Below are 17901 nucleotides of genomic sequence, written 5' to 3'. Positions count from 1 at the left end.
AAAGCTGGATAAATCATACTTATCAAAACGAAAAACTTTTGTGTTTCAAAGAATACCATCAACAAAGTGAAGAGCCACCCTCGAAATGAGGGAAAATATTTCCTCTGTATATAAGTAATATGTATTTATTTTCTTTGGCTATCTTCACATTTTTCCTCTTTATTTTTTGTTGTTAGCAATTTGAATACGACACATCTAGGAGTGTGTGTGTATGTGTGTGTGTGTTGTATTTATATTGCTTGATTTTCTCTATGTTTCTTGGATTTGGGATTTAGCATCTTTCAATGATTTGGAAAATTATCAGCCATTATCTCTTCAAATATATCTTCTTTCTTCTTCTCTGTTTTTTCCCCCTGGGATTCCAATTACATGAATATTAGACTATTCAATATTATCCTATAGCTCTTGGATGTGGCATTTTTTTATTCTTTTTTTTTTTAGTTGGCATTATTTCTAATGGCCTATCTTAAATATACTAATTATTTCCTTATCTGTGTCAAGTTTATGATTAGCCCATTAAAGACATTCTTCATCTCTGTTACTCTATTTTTACTTCTAAAATTTTTATTTCCTGCTTTCTTATAATTTCTATTGCTCTACTGAAATTCCTCATGTCTTTGTGCATGATGTCTACCTTATTAATTACTATATTGATCATTGTTTTTCAATTCTGTCTGATAGTTTCAATATCACGTTCATTTCTAAGTCTGGTTCTGTTGATCAATTTGCCTCTTGTCGGTAAATTGTTGGCCAGGCTGATATTGAATTCCTGGTCTCAAGCAATCCGCCCACCTCAGCCTCCCAAAGTGCTGGGATTACAGGCATGAGCTACTGGGCCTGGCCACATCCTGTTTCTGCTAGTCTTCAGAGTGAAGGCTGAGACAATCTAGTCAGTCGTTGAGCTGGATTTGAGTTTTGTTGCTATGATCACGGTCAATGAACCACAGGCATTATTTTCTAGTATTATTTTATGTTTAAGAATTATTCTCTACATTCTCATTTCACTGTCATCTTTAAGCTTTACCTGTGTAACTGAACCTCAGAGAGGGTTTTTTTTCTTTTTTTTTTTTTTTTCTTTTTTTGGGATGGAGTCCGGCTCTGTCGCCCAGGCTGGACTGCAGTGGCACGATCTCGGCTCACTGCAAGCTCCACCTCCCGGGTTCACGTCATTCTCATGCCTCAGCCTCCCTAGTAGCTGGGACTACAGGCGCCCGCCACCACGCCTGGCTAATTTTTCTGTATTTTTAGTAGAGACGGGGTTTCACGGTGTTAGCCAGGATGGTCTCGATCTGCTGACCTCGTGATCCGCCCACCTCGTCCTCCCAAAGTGCTGGGATTACAGGCATGAGCCACCGCGCCCGGCCGCAGAGAGGGTTTTGTTCCATGCTCTTGCTCCTTCCCCAGTGGTAGATTTGCTGTTATTTGTTACTTGACATTTGCTAACTATGGAGTAGGGGGATGTTTTCTGTTGTTTTGATTCATCCACAGTCTTAGATAAGCCCTGTGTCATTGGGTGTCAGTGGTGGAAAATTCAAATGGTCCTGGCCTATTTCCTATGGCAGCCAAACTCTATCTTGTATGTTTGACATATCTTATGTGAGTTTCCTGCACCATCCTCCGTGGTAAGACATTTCTAATGATCAGAATCTACAACAGAGTGTTGTTCCCTCTCCTTCAAGTGTCAAGGGCTTTTGTCCCTTGGTTTGCCCCAGCTGAGATGTGTCTTCCTCTCTGTCCTGGGAACAACATTGTCATCTTTCCCCCAATAGCTTAAGGCTTTTGTTCCATAGGAGAGATGGAGAAAACGAGTCTGCGGAAAGGGGCACTTCATGCCTTCCAACAACGGTGGCCACCCCCCTCTTCCAAGTGTGTACCACTGAGGGAAGCCTTCTCGGGTTTCTGGGTCTGCCCTGAATCTTTCTTGTGAGCACATGGTGAGGTTCATGGAGAAGAGTCTGTGAGCCAGTGTGAACTCGCCTTATATCTGAGACTCCCAGGGATTCTATGCTGTTGTGTGAGCTTATACTCAACCTTTAGCAATTTATTAAAATATTTGGCTGAAATCTTCTGAACTATATCAGGGGTAGTGTCTCCTTTCTCTCTCACAGGTAAGCCAGGGTTATGATGGCTCCTTAGAAGTGCTTGTTTTTTTTCTTAGATTTCAGGTATTTGATTGCCCTATGACCTCAGATCTCTGATAAATTCAAGAAAATTATGATTTGGGAGGTTATCTAACTCTTTCTTGTTATTAGAAGAAGAGAGGCTCTCTTTCCAGGTTTTTACATCCTCAGCAGAAGCCAGAGGTCCACGACAAGTTTCTGTAAGCCTCCTCAAATGCTTTTGGAATAAAACATAATACAAAATAAATAAAGAGATAAACAAAATAAAACAACACTGCAACCAGAGGTACAAGTAATATAGGATAATCTTGGTTAAAAAGTAACAAAATAGAGGCCTTTTTCTAAAAACATTAAATAGGAACTGCAAGGTAGTAAAAAGTACAAACTATGAAAAAACTTTTAAAAATTCAGATGAATTTTACCTTTTGATTTAAAAATGTATAAAACTACATATTTCTAGAGTATGCTTTCCTATCAATATGCAAAAGATAACAATTAGAGCCGGGAGCTGCAATATGAGGCTGAAGGGTCTGGCCTCTAGGGCTACAGATTGGGAGACATAAAATAGATTTATCTTCAACACTACTCCTTTTCTCTCCAGTTCTCTGGCCTTTGAAACTCAAGGTTAAATCAAAATTAATTTCCTTTAAATTGCTTAAAGTTGCTTTTTGACTGCTCTGAATGTTAAAATGGGGCAATGGGCTAATATGTAGTGAATGTCTACAAGATGCTAGACTAGGTTTTCCAACTTCAGTGTATAGTGGAATCACATGGGGATCTTGATACAAATACAGAGAACCTTAGCTGACCTCCGTGCAAGTGGGCCTCTGTATTCCTTATTAATTTATAGGTGATTATGACACTTATCAAAGTTGAAGAACCACTGTCCTAGGCACTTAATATACATCCTCCTATCTAATCCATTATTTTACTAAAGTAAATAGTGTTACACTTATTTTACTGATGGGGAAACTAAGGCTCAGAGGGACTAAACACCCAGCCCAAAGTCACAAAGCAAATTAGTGGCAGACCCGGTACTAAAACCCAGATGTGTCCACCTCTAAACTCAGGTGCCTTTAGCTCCACCTCACAAGGATCCACTCTCTCTCTCCACTTTTTCAAGAATGGTAGCAAAGGGCAATCTATCTTCCTTGAGCCTAGATAGCAAACCAACACCGTGTACCAGTTTATAAAGATTATTTTGTTTTGCCTTTTTAAAAATACAAACACAGTGGATTATAAAGGTCTTCTTTCCTAGAGGATCCATTAATTGAAACTCCATTACATTGCTCTCCACAAGTCTTTGAGAAAGCTGAAGAATTTTCAGAAACACGTAATTAAGACTCAGAGGGGAGGCCAAGATTTAAAAAGAACTTCCAAAAGACCAAGTAACTGCCAACAAAGCTTCTCGAGGGAATGCTTTCAGACAAATGAGGCGTGAATATAGGTGGGTTTTTTAAACTACCAGGAAGGAAGAGGGATAAGAGATCCCTGTGAGTACAAACAATGTCAATTAAGGCCAAGAAAAGAAAAGAATATATTACTGTCAGCCAGAGTCAAGGGAAGAAAGATGGCCTTTTACTGGTGTGTCGGGAGAGAAATGAATACCAGAGAGGATCATTCGAAACCTATTAAGAAATGAAGGGAGAATTAGATCAACGGTCCTATTGGGAAGCTCAGACAGCAAAACAGTTTTCTGTCTGCCAGTGGGAAGAGCAACAGAAATTAGAACAACTTACAAACATCTTTATCCAAGAGATTTGGACTGGAAGGAATTGTAAAAATAAGATGAATCTGTGTCATTGAGAAAAAAATTGGGAAGATGAAAACTTGGTGGGATTAATATTTAACCTTAAAATTCAATTCAATTCTGTCCTAGATTAGAAGGCCCATGACTTATTTTCTACCAAAATAATAATAATAATAACTTTGTTTTGAGCTTTGTGTCATATGTTGACATTAATCTGAATTATCAAAACAACCCATTGGGTATTTAACTGATTCCCACACCTAGAGTCCCCAGTAAGTTTCCTAAAAGTGCTCTGAGTTTTCTGTGTTGAGGGATATATAAGTATAACAAAGGCTCTGGCAGGTTCGAAAGGAGAATTTTCACAGTGTATCTGAGGTCACTGCACCTTTCCTCCGTATGACTAACCGCATCTCCCTGGTCTAAATGACTGGTCAGCTGCTGGGAATTTCCCACTTTAAGCAATCCCAGCACTTTGGGAGGCCAAGGCAGATGGATCACTTGAGGTCAGGAGTTCAAGACCAGCCTAGCCAATATGGTGAAACCCAGTCTCTACTAAAGATACAAAAATTAACCAGGTATGGTGGTGCGTGCTTGTAATCCCAGCTACTCGGGAGGCTGAGGCAGGAGAATAGCTTGATCCCAGGAAGCAGAGGCTACAGTGAGCTAAGATTGCGCCATTGCACTCCAGCCTGGGCATCACAGCGAGACTCCATCTCGAAAAACAAAACAAAACAAAACAACAAACAAACAAACAAAACAAAAAAGTTGGACTTCAATATGTCTTCAAAAAGTATCCTGTTTATTGTGTCTCATTTGATTATAGTAATTGGTTATTTATTTTCAGATCAATGCTTTTCAAACTGCATTTACATTAGCCAGTTATAAAGTCAATTTAGTATGTTCCAGCCAGCATTAAAAAAAAATAGAATACAAAAAACATTCATATCATTCCTTACTCAATAGTGAATGTATTGCTTTGTGACATACTTGTGTATGTGGGCATGTGTATGTGTACACTGAGTCACAATATAACTTTTTTTTTATTTAAAAAATTTTTTTGAGACAGGGTCTCTGTTACCCAGGCTAGAGTGCATTAGCGCAATCATAGCTCACTGCAGCCTTGACCTCCTGGACTCAAGTGATCCTCCCACCTCAGCCTCCTGAGTAGCTAGGACCACAGGAACAAGCCACCATTCCCGGCTTTCTTTCTTTTTTTTTTTTTTTAATTTTTTGTAGAGACAGGGTCTTACTATGTTGCCAGGGCTGGTCTCAAACTCCTGGCCTCAAGTGGCACTCCCACCCCAGCCTCTCAAAGTGCTGGGATTACAGATGTGAGAAAGATATGATGCCCCGCCATTTATCTCTTACTGGGACAGGAAGTTTGAAAGCCAGTGCTCTATATCATGCTCCAAGAGGCTTCTCCATGGTTGTGCTATCTCTAGCTTCTCTCTCTTCTAATCTGTCCTGCACCTGACTGTAAAACTAATCTTTTTTACAACTGTACTTTGATTATGTGACTTTTATCCAGTCATTCTTTCCTTCATTCAACAAATATTCGGCAAATATCCATTCTCTATCAGATGCAGGGCTTCCTTGCCCCATCCCCACCTTACACCTGCCTTCCATAAGGAGAGAGACTATAAGTGACTATAAGTATTCTATTGCACAGGGCTAATTCCAAGTTCAATAGTCTGCACTTTATTCCTGCTACCAATTATGTCAGGATTAAATGCTTCTAATCTATCAAGATCCTCTGAGCGAGATCTACTCTCTCCATCCAAGCTTCTTTTTCTTTGTCAGTGTTTGGATCTAGCTAGCCTTTTCTACCAACCTGAATATCTCTCTGTGTGCTATGTTAATTCGGACTCCAGTATCCCTCATCCCATTACTAACGCCGTCCTTTCTTCACTCTTCAGCAAACTCTCTGCAGGGCTCCCGGATCTCAGACCCTCCTCCTCCCTTCACAATGCACGGCCTTGCCATGGGCCACATCTGGTCATCGTCCCATTTCCCTGCCCCCTTCTAGCTCCAGTCATCAATGCAGAATTCCTCGCTGCAAAACACTTTCTAGTCCATTGTTCCTTTATTTAGAATGTCTCCAGGGATTGTGTTCCATCACTTTACTTGAAAGCCTATTTCACAGTCTAGTAGGTCTCACTGTCTAGAGACTTTTTATCTTTCTCTAAAAATTTTCCTTTCTTAATTTTAATCTATTATTTCTAGTTATACCACTGATCCCAGCATTAATAATACTTCAAATTTTGACAAAAATAAAATACTTGCTTTTCCTCACTTAACCTCAGACTGTATTTAAATTAATCTTCCATCGTCACTTAATCTTACTGCCCATTATTGAATTCTAGCAGTTAATCATCATATGTATTGCTGAAAACAGGACAATTCAAACTAAATGCAGATGCAGCCCAATAGGAGAACCATAATCTTGCTCTTGCTGGAAAAACCCAGGAATGAAAATGAACTGTACAATCTTTAGTGACCCGGCCCTGTTTTATTTCCTTCTGACTTTATCATAAAAGGAAATAAAAACATTTAGGGAAAACATTTAAAAATGTGCAGGTATGGCATGTTTTCTTTTGTATGCCATCCTCCATCTGTTTCCTTTGTTAATTTGGTCACATTTATTGAGTTTCTACTCATCCCAGGCCCTTTATTAGGAGCTGAGGATCAAAGGTAAGATCAGCGCCAGGCAAGGTGGCTCATGCCTGTAATCCCAACACTTTGGGAGACACTGCAGGAGGATTCCTTGAGGTCCAGAGTTCCAGACCAGCCTGGGTGACATATCAAGACCCTGCTTCTACAAAAGTAAAAAACAAAAATTAGCTGGGCATGGTGATGTATCCCTGAAGTCTTAGCTACTTGCGAGGCTGAAGTGGGAGGATTGCTTGATCCCAGGAATTCAAGGTTAGAGTGAGCTGTGATCACACCACTGCTTTCCAGCCAGGGCGACAGAGCAAGACCCTGTCTCCAAAAAAAAAAAAAAAAAAAAAAAAAAACTGGTGAGTAAGACCATCAAGCTGCTCACTGTCCAGCAGAGAAATAAACTTGTCAGCAGATAATTACAGCACAGGATCATATGACTTTAAATGGACTAGAAGGAATGGCTTGCTATGGTGGGAAACTTCAGCTTTGGTTCTGACAGGGATAAGCAGAAATTTTTCAGATAGAAAGAGAAGGAAGACTATTTTAAACAAAGTAGCAACATGTGCAAATGTAGAGAGGCTTGAAGGATGATGGGTGTCCAGAGAATAGTGAAAAGACAGGGAGGCTGGAACCTATGGTACATAACTAGTAATGATCAGAAACGACCTTGAATATCTGTGAAGGATTTAATACATGCTAAAGAGTTTACACTCATCCTGAAACCAACTGCACATCCGTGGGGGTTTTTAACAGTGGGGCATGTCTGAATCTCACGTTGGAGGTGGGGCCTGGTGGGAGGTGATTGGATCATGGGGGTTGTTCTTGGTTGTTCTTCATGAATGGTTTAACACCATCCCCTCGGTGCCATTCTTGTGATAGTGAGTGTGACTTATCAAAAGATCTGGTTGTCTAAAAGTGTGTAGCACTTCCCCCCGCCCCTTTGCTCCTGCTCCTCCCATGTAAGCAATGCCTACTCCCGCTTCACCTTCCGCCAGAAATGTAAGTTTCCTGAGGCTCCCCAGAAGCTGAGCAGATGCCAGCATCATGCTTCCTGTACAGCCTGTAGAACCTTGAGCCAATTAGACCTCTTTTCTTTATAAATTACCCAGTCTCAGTTATTTTCTTATAGCAATGTGAGAACGGACTAATACAAAATGAAAATGGTAATATGTTCTACAACCTTGAGTTTTATCCCAGAAATGCAAGGTTTTTAATGTTATAAAGTTACTCAATGTAATTATAAAAGCAATTAATATAATAGTATGGTAAATAATAACAGAATCCCAGAATAAGAGGAAAACATGTGATTATCTCAATAGATACAGTAAACATATTGTAAAAATTTAACACCCAGGGGAAAAATCCTTAGGAAACTATAGAAGGGAACTTCCTAAACTTAACAAAGGACATCTATGAAAAACCTACAACTAATTTCATTTCTAACAGCAAATGTCTGCTGTTCATGACTAACAACCAATAGCAAGGAACAAGGCATAATCAAGGACAAGGCAATGATGTCCTCTCTCATCACTACTATTCAAATATTTCTGAACTAAACTGCAAAAGCACTATTCATAAAAGAAGACAAAAGTTTGATAAACACAACCTTATCAAAACTTTTTAAACTTCTTACAGAGAAAGAGCTAGAAATGATAAGTTTAATGGTAAAAGATGCCACTGAGAAAATGAAAGACAAGCCAGAGTGGGGAAATTATTAACACATTTATCTGCCAAAGGGCCCATATATAGAATACATAAAGAATTCCTATCACACAATAAGTAAAAATACAACCCATAAAAATAGGGGCATAGGACTTGAGCAGACTTCATACTCCACAAAAGAAGATAAACACAGAGACAATAAACTCATGAAAATATAATTAACATCATTAAGCCTCAGGGAAATGCAAATCAAAACCTGCCAATGAGCTACCACAAAACACCAAACACTGTAAGAATGGAGCAACTGGAACTCTAATGCATTGCAAATGAGACTCTAAAATGGTACAATCAATTTGGAAAATATTTTGACAATGTCTTATAAACTTAAACATAGACTCCCCTTTTGACCCATTGGGTCTGACTTAACAGAAAAGAAAAAATATGTCCACAACATGACTTCTACAACAAAGTTCAAAGAAGATATATTTATAATACTGAAAAGTTGGAAGCAGCCCAAATGTACATAAACAGGAGACTGGATAAACGATGGTATGTCTGTACAGTGGAATGAAGATTATGGAATAAGAGGTGTAGTTTGAAAAAGAAAATTTTTTTTTTTTTTGAGATGGAGTCTTACTCTGTCACCCAGGATGGAGTGCAATGGCAGGATCTTGGCTCACTGCAACCTCCACCTCCTGGGTTCAAGCGATTCTCTTGCCTCAGCCTCCCAAGTAGCTAGGATTACAGGCACACACCACCATGCCCAGCTAATTTTTTTTTTTTTTGTATTTTTAGTAGATATGGGGTTTCACCATGTTGGACAGGCTGTCCTGGAACTCCTGATTGCCAAGACCAGCTTGGTCATGGAGACCCTAACCCAGCAGCACTAGAGGAATTAAACACACACAGAGAGAAATATAGAGTGCAGAGTGGGATTCAGGGGGCTGACAGCCTTCAGAGCTGAGAGCCATGAGCAGAGTTTTACCCACATATATACTGACAGCAAACCAGTGATAAGCATTGTTTCTATAGATTACAGATTAACTAAAATGGGAAACAAAGGGATGGCCTCTGGCTAGTTATCTGCAGCAGGAGCATGTCCTTAAGGCACAGATCGCTCATGTTATTGTTTGTGGTTCAGGAACACCTTAAGTGGTTTTCCACCCAGGGTGGGCCAGGTGTTCCTTGATCTCATTCCAGTAAACCAACAACAATCTTCAGCGTGGGCATCATAGCCATCATGAGCATGTCACAGTGCTGCAGAAATTTTGTTTATGGCCAGTTTTGGGGCCTGTTTATGGCCAGATTTGGAGGGCCTGTTCTCAGCACCTGATCTCTGGTGATCTGCTTGCCTTGGCCTCCAAAGTGCTGGGATTACAGGCATGAGCCACTGCACCCAGCCCCCCAATTTTTTTTTTGCAAAATCATATATCTATTTTCAAACAAACTTTGCACAGGATTCCAATATTAGAACACATCGGAAATGGAGCCAATACAGATGACCATGAGCCCTAATCTCTTTGTCCTTTCTCACGGCCTTTTCTGCATCACACACAGCCCTCCTCCACAGTAAATCCTGAGCCACTTTCTTGACATTCATGGGTTTTTCAAAGACAGTATGAAGTGTTCCATATTAGAACCTGTCATTTTCCTTGGCCAAATGACTCAAAGCCAGACCCTACTGAGAGTGGTTTATAACCTTTCATTTGAATGCAAAGGGCATAGCATCATTATTTATTCATTTAGCTGGAAGAGAGCTAAATATTTCCAACAGATACCTGCAGCCTGAAAGCACTTGTTAAAATATACAAAACAAAATAAATGCAGAGATGACGAAATATTAAAACGATCACCTTTTGATGTCACCCCATCAGACAAAGTCAGAAGAAGAACCTGAATCATATGCCATATTCTAAAACTCATTTCCACATACTCATTTTTGTGTGTGTTAGATTTGTTTCTACAATGTCGCATTTCATGACCCTTAGAGATATTTTCTGCCTAGACTCTACATCCTTTTGTTTTTTCATGCTAAATTCTATATTTCTTTTAATTAAAAATTATTAATAAGAAAAAAGCAGAACTATGACTGATACTTATGCATATAGCTGTGATATTTAAATAATCTAAGCCTATATGAAAATGCCTTAATAATCAACAACAGCAAACACAGAGGGTCAGGGATCTGGTAATCCAAACACATTTTTCTTCTTTTGTTCTACAAAATAAAAAATAAATATTTTTCACATCTGTATATCTTCAATGGGAAAATCTAAATATCTAGAAAACTAACTTAATTGTTAATCTAGGCTAATTTCAAGATTTGGCAGGAAGCTAAGTTTGTAAAAATGTACCCAGTTTTAATATGTTATGAGGCTAAGAAATCAATTCCAAATTCTTCCTTTTTTTCCTCCAAATTGAGATTGCAAGATGAGCTCAACCACAATTGCATACAGACCTGTATCATTTTATACTAGAATGCACTTTGTTGATTCTACTAGTCTTTTTTTTTTTTTTTTTTTTTTACTTTTTAAAATTTAGATTAAGGGAGTACATGTGCAGGCTTGTTACATGGGTATATTATGTGATGCTGAGGTTTGGGTTTCTAGTGTCCAAGTGAACACAGTACCTAATAGGTAGGATTCAACCCTTGCCCCCACCTCCTTCCACTCTTTTGGAATCCTCAGTGTTTATTGTTCCCATCTTTGTGTCTGTGTGTACCCGATGTTCAGCTCCCACTTATAAGTGAGAACGTGTTGGAGTATTTGGTTTTCCGTTTTCTCTGTAATTCACCTAGGATTATGGCCTCCAGCTGCATCCATGTTGCTGCAAATAATATGATTTCATTCTTTGTTATGGCTGCATTGTATTCCATATTGCATATGTACCACATTTTCTTTATTCAATACACCATTGATGGGCATCTAGGTTGAGTCCATTTCTTTGCATTGTGAGTAGTGCTGCAGTGAACATACAAGTGGAAGTATCTTTTTTTTTTTTTGTGAGACAGAGTCTCACTCTGTTGCCCAGGCTGGAGTGCAGTGGCGCTATCTTGGCTCACTGCAACCTTCACCTCCCGGGTTCAAGCAATTCTTCTGCCTCAGCCTCTCGAGTAGCTGGGGCTACAGGCATGTGCCACTGCGCCCAGCTAATTTTTGTATTTTTTAATAGAAACAGGGTTTCACCATCTTGGCCAGGCTGGTCTCGAACTCCTGACCTCATGATCCGCCTGCCTCGGCCTCCCAAAGTGCTGGGATTACAGGCATAAGCCACCTAGCCCGGCCAACAAGTGCAGTTATCATTTTGATAGAACAATTTATTTTCCTTTGGGGCTATACCTAGTAACGTTGAATTGCTGGGTGGAATGGTAATTCTGTGTTTAGTTCTTTAAGAAATCTCCAAGCTCTTTTCCACAGGGCACTGAACTAATTTTCATTCCCACCAACAGTGTATAAGCAGTCCCTTTTCTCTGCAACCGTGCAACATGTTATTTTTTTACTTTTTAATAATAGCCATTCTAACTGATGTGAGATGGTATCTCATTGCTGTTCCCCTTTATTCATCAAATGTTTTGGTCAAAATTGGGGATAACATATATACATACCTCAGGCAGCAGCTGATACTTGTAACCCTCGCTGTGTTTCTAGTAGAACTCTAACATACTCCTTACGGAATTGTCTCCTGACCTGAGAGTGTTTATCTGGACATAACTTCCTTGAGCTGTATTAAGAACCACACCTTTCAACTCTGAATGCCTTATCAGTCTAAAGTTACAAAATAACCTAGCATATTGATTTGGATGCTGTTCTACTGCTATTATATGACTCATCTACAGAGGATCCATGGAGCAAAAGACAAAAAAGACAGCTAGCTGGTAAAAGAGGATACAACAATGACTCATAAACATACGATAAAATGTTCAACATCACTAGTACAAAGGAAATGCATAGAAAAAAATTAGATATTTTCACTTGCTTTATTAGAGATTTTAAAAAATCGTAATTATTGATGCTTCCAAGTTTTTGTGAGATGGATACGCTTATACACTGCTGGGGGGTGAGGAGCATACATTTATATAATCTTTCTAGACAGCAATTGGAATCTATCTGGCAATATATCAAAATCTCTTTAAAAATGTTTATTTCCTTGGTATCTGTTTAACTTAGTAATTCTATTTGGGAGCATTTGTCCTGAGAAAATTATCCAAAATATAGTAAGAGATTTATGAATCAACAGGTTCATCATAATATATATCTTATAATAGCAAAGATTGGAAACAAATTAAATTCTCAAAACTCTCCTCCTTTGGAAGGCAACCACGACCATCTTTGTTTATTCTCTCATCTTCTGTGTTCTCTCAGTGGGCACTCTGCTAGACTCATTTGTGCTGACTGATATGTTGTTCTATAGAAATTATTTGGTTGTTTCTTCTCTGTGTCTCCTCACTATCCTTTCTACTAAACAGACCATATGCAATTTGAAGGCAGGATCTTTGGGTTTTTCCCCCATAAGATCTAGTATAGGGTAATCAGAAGAATCTGGAATCTGTTAGGAACAACATGACCCTGATCATTTTCCATTTAAATTCTTCATTGCAGTGGGCCCAACAGGGGCAGCATAGCCCCATAGCAAGAGAGCTTTGCCCTTTTGGTGGGGTGGGAGGGTGAGTACATTTCATGACCATGGTATGAATGGTTTGAACCATGAGCCACAAGTTAACAGTACCTTGGCTTAAACTGTATTCCATGTTTAAGAGGTGCCACTCCTCTGTCCTTGTCTTGGAGTGCAATAATGTACCACAGCCCAAACCTTTCCCATACAACTGAGAGTATGCCCAGTTTACAGACATGAGTGTCTACAGTCCACCAAAGAGAGTGAATTGCCCTGGTGTCACTGGCTTATTTTTATGTTTGTCTTCTCACTTCTCTGCACTGTGAGCTCCTTGAAGGCAGAAGCTACAACTTTGTAGCTCCAGGATGTGGAACAGTGTGGCTTATAGCAGGAGCTGAAAATTCATTTAAGTCAAGGAGGAGAGCAGAGCATCCAGGGTCAGCAGGTGAGGCCATGGGATACATCCAAGTGAGACAGGAGAAGGGAAAGAATCATTTCTAAAGGAAGTTATTCTTAGGCTGATGGGAAAATATGCCTTTAGAGAAAGTACAATCACAAAAGTAGTCTAATAGGTGTTATTATGGAGGCCATAAAAATAAAGTATTTGAAATAAAACAGATTAAGGAAGAGAAGAATGCTCATTAAGGGTCAGAAGGGATAGAAGAGAAGACTCAAAAATGTCAAGCCAGCTGGGTGTGGTGGCTCACACTTGTAATCTCAGAGCTTTCACAGATGGGAGGATTGCTTGAGCCCAGGAGTTTGAGACCAGCTTGGGCAACACAGTGAGACCTCATCTCAAAAATCTTAGCCAGGCATGGTGGCATAGTCCCAGCTACTAGGGAGGCTGAGACAGGAGGATCTTTTGAGCCTGGGAGGTCAAAGCTGCAGTGAGCTATGATTGTGCCACTGCACTCCAGCCTGGAAAGCTAAAGTTAACTGAAAACATACAAAAATTAAACAAACAAACAAAAGAACAACAACAACGACAAAAAAAAAAAAAACCTCTATCTCAGTAAAGCAAAAGAAACATGAACAACATTTTTAAACACTTCGTATTTTAGGCAACACTAGAATGTGTAGAAAGTCCTGGAATTTTGTCAAGAATGTGACAGACGGAGATTGGGACAATGTCAACGAACAGCTGTCACTGATGAACTACTACTGTATTTCTATATTCCTGAACTGTATCCATCCTTACAATCACTGATCCACGGAATAAAACCCGGTGGTAAAGAATGTCACAGAAGGTAGAGCAGGGCTCTTTTATGCTCAAGGCTTGGGTCTAAAACTGACAGAAAGGAGCCTCCAGTTCCCTGCACTCCCAAAGAATTGCAAACAGTGGAGCTGGTGTCATCTACAGGAGGGCTCTCTGAGAGATATTCCAATCAATTCTGCTCCCCTCACTGAACCTCCATTCTACCATGCTCCTCCACAATCAACATGAGCAGAAAACTCAGAGTGGGATGAGGAGGAGGATGATGGGAGAGAGAGGAGAAACATCCATGGCTTCGTGAAGACAGCTGGGCTTTCTCTCTCTCCTCACCATGGAATAGTTCCTCCAGCTCCTAGGTCAAACCAAATGGGGACATGCTGTAGGACATGCAGTGTCAAACCTTCATAACAGACTGAGAAGGAGACTCTAAAAGAAAATGATATTTACTTGGGAATGGCTTTGCAATGGAAATACACGTGCCAGAGTAAACTATGCAGATCATCAGGAAGGTTGAGGCAAGGGACAGTTTTTGAAGGCAAAATGAAAAGAATTACATAAGTTGTTTTGAATCAATTATCCTTGGCTGTAAGGATCAATAACAAGGGTGGTGTCAGTCCAAGGTTGGACAAGCAGTTGCTGGACAGATGTCCTTGCAGAAGTATTTTCTCTGTAAGGTTTTGGTGGCCTTTGTGCAAGGTTGTGCTTTTTTGCAGAGTTTGTTTGTGATAGTTCTTATTATCAGGCATACAAGCTTGAGAAATCCCCCATTATGGCCTTTCCCAGTTCCAGTTGTCACAAGTGACTCTATTTTGATTCTGACAACTTTCACATCAGCCTGTGGGCCAAATCCAGCCCACCATCTATTTTTGTAAATAAAGTTTTATTGGAATCACTTCTCGGCCTTTTGGCTAAGACCAAGTGCAGAGTTTTATTGGAACACAGCCATGCCCATTCATTTTCATATTGTCTGTGGCTGCTGTCTCACTACAACTTCAAAGCTGAATAGTCAAAACAGAGACCATATGGCTCACAAAGCTGAAAATGTTTACTAACCGTTCCTTCACAAAAAACGTTTTCTGACCTCTATTCTAGAAAAGTTACCTACAGAGACTACTGGTGCCAGAAAAAGGGAGAGATTGGCTTCCATTCTGGGTTGGAGCAGTAAGTTGGTGATAAGATCAAAATGTTCAGCTGGACCATTTATAAAATGGGGCTGAAAGGTCATTAAGAAGCATGAAAGCAGAATTTGGCAAAGCACAGATGAATACAGGGATTGGAAGAAATAAAATCATTTGAGATTTAAAGCCCACCCACCCATCTCTTCCCTCCAGGAATTTAGACTGTGAACTCTTTGGATGCATTAGATTTGGTTTTATTGAATAATTTATTATACATTTTTATTTATTTCCTTTACTAATTTTTTTAGGAGTACTCTTATTGGGTTGAGCAAAACTTGCTTTTATTTATAAACTAGAAATATTCTGTCTCTGTATGCCTAACTTTATCAATTTTGAGTTTGCAGATGCCCAATATCTGGGACCTAGGAAACAAAATGGGCTGAGCAAAATTCTAAGCTTCAATTTTAAAAGCTAAGATTTGCTTAAAAAGAATTTCTGCAATGCTTCAAAACAATAATAGTGTGTCCTTCGTCACCAAATGCTGTACAGAATGTTAAATTTTACCTGGCTTCTGCCAAGCGTTCTTAGAACAAGCATTTATTATAGATTAGTTTTATTTTACATTAATGGGTGTCTAGGAGAGGGAGGTAATAGCACTTGAGGCAATTTTGTTTTACTATGAAAATTATTTAAGCCTTTAGAAGACGAAATTCAGGGAAATGTACTGTCTTCTCAAAAAATATGTGTTTATAACCCCAAATACAGGAAAAGCTTTTTGAGGAAAGTCATTTTGCTTTGCAAAACAGATTTTCAAACTATTAAGCAAGATAAAAGGTCACATTGACCGTTTGTTTTAGATAATTCATTCATTCCTGGCCAGGATTTTATAAGATTAAAAGAGTGTGCTTCTGAAACAGAAAAAAAAGGACCACAGCATTTATAAACTAGGAGGTCCCTAAATGCTGGAGATTATTCTGATTCCAGAGGGAGCATTAAGGCAGCAATGTAAACATGTTGCTGGTAAGTGAAATTACATTTCAAGCTCTACGCCTTGCCACTCCAAACCTAAATAAATGAATAAAAATTTTCTTCTAACTTGAGATATTTTTCATAGTTACTTCCTAATGTTATTTTAAAATAGCATCAAAAGCTGAAATTCAGTAAATAATATTCTGATCATGCTGTTTACTCAGCAAAAGAGAAGAATTGCCAGAAATCAAGTGCCATCCACATGTCAACTAAGGTCCCTCTGTCCCTTGGAGACCTAGCTAAAAATGACTGCAGTCGTCTATTCCGTGGCCTTTGAGAGGCTTCCTTCACCACCCACCATGGTCAACCTTACCTCTCACCCCCATTTTGCAAACTCCTCTGACTTTACTTCCTCTTGCTTCTCTCTGTTGGTCTTCCATATCTGCATGTGTTTCTTAGTTTGGTTCGACTCAGTCCAGATATACAGCCTAGCCCCACCACAGTCTGAAAAAAAGCACCACTCGCCTTGTACATGAGCTCAACAACTTTACTAAAAATCTGGAGAGCAGCGAGGAGTACCAGGACAGAACACGTGATTTTCCACTATCTCTTGGCTTCTACCCTCCACTCTTTATGTTTCTTTCTTGTCCCTCCCACCTCCACATGCCACAAAGCAAACTGCAAAGTCATCCTCCTGTCACCTACGAAAGTTCTATCTTACCACCTTTGAATTACAGTTTCACAAACAACTACAGTTTTCTCCAAAAGTATTCTGATAATTGAAATGTTCTGTCTTATTAAAATAGCATGAAGCATGTTCTTGTAAGTTTTGGAGACTGAAAAACAGAATCAGTTATCTGTCTTCAGCAGCAAAATGTCAAATAAATTAAATTGATAAACATCATTGACTTTTACAAAGCCCACCTGTACAATGCTGTGTAATGTCTGGAACTCCAGTGATATTCTTTCCTTTAAAAGTTGGAGCCTATACTTACCTGGGAGGGGAGATACCATGATCCATGATCACAAAGATGGTTTTCCCAGGGCAAGGCTCATCCATTGCACTCCAAATGTGCTGACCACTGCAATTTCCTCAAATGTAGGAAACTCAATTGCATAATGTGTGGCAGTGGGAGACTGCGTTCATGCTTTCCCTTGTTTAAAAAAAAAAAAAAAAGTTGGAGCGTAATTCTCTCCATCCTCCCAAAGTGGGCTGGACTTAATAACTTGCTTCAAATGAATACATTGTTTTGGAAGTGATTCCATGTGACATCCAAGGCTATGTCATAAAAAGGACAGCTTTTCTCTGGCTCTTTCTCTGGGGTAGGCTAGTTGCCATGTTGTGAGAACACCCAAGCAGCCCAATGGAGAAGCCCCAGGATAGACAGCGTAGCATGGAGAAGAACCAACTTGCCAGCTATGGGAATGGACCACCTTGAGTCCTCCAGTTGCAGCCAGGTCTTCAGTTGATTTCAGCCATGGCTGATATCTTGACTGCAAACCACCCAACTAAGCTGTTCCTAAATTCTTGACCCACAGAAACTGTGAGAATAATAAATGCTTGTTGTTGTTTTAAGCCACTAAATTCAGGGGTAGTTTACAGAACAATATATAACTAAAACATGTAGATACTAATACAACTTTCTTGGAAAAACAATTAGTTTTTATAAATGAATGAATGTGTGAACATTCAAATCAGAGCATTACCAGAGAAAGAGAATTAGTTAACTAGGGGATCATTTCTTCTAGTGATGCTTTCCTGACTTCCCCAGAGCTGTGCTTCAAAACTTTCACCTG

General features: G+C 39.5%; 1 long non-coding RNA gene and 1 pseudogene across 5 annotated transcripts in view; one reads left to right on the top strand and one right to left on the bottom strand.

Moving 5' to 3' along the window:
- Positions 1-17901, bottom strand: part of LOC101927711 (uncharacterized) — a 92142-nt gene that overhangs the window by 58192 nt on the left and 16049 nt on the right. For 2 of the 5 annotated variants that reach the window (XR_949280.3, XR_949281.3), the window contains exon 1: positions 5702-6010. This is a non-coding gene — a long non-coding RNA (uncharacterized LOC101927711). Of the gene's footprint in view, positions 1-5701; positions 6015-17099; positions 17259-17901 lie in introns of those variants that run through there. The other 3 variants (XR_949278.3, XR_949279.4, XR_247101.4) reach the window with 3 other exon arrangements.
- On the top strand, positions 17092-17262 carry RNU1-74P (RNA, U1 small nuclear 74, pseudogene; annotated as a pseudogene).

This window comes from Homo sapiens, chromosome 1 (genome assembly GCF_000001405.40).
Source record: "Homo sapiens chromosome 1, GRCh38.p14 Primary Assembly".
NCBI lineage: Eukaryota > Metazoa > Chordata > Mammalia > Primates > Hominidae > Homo > Homo sapiens.
Note: the sequence above shows the minus strand (reverse complement) of the source record. Positions and strands in the feature narration are given on the sequence as shown.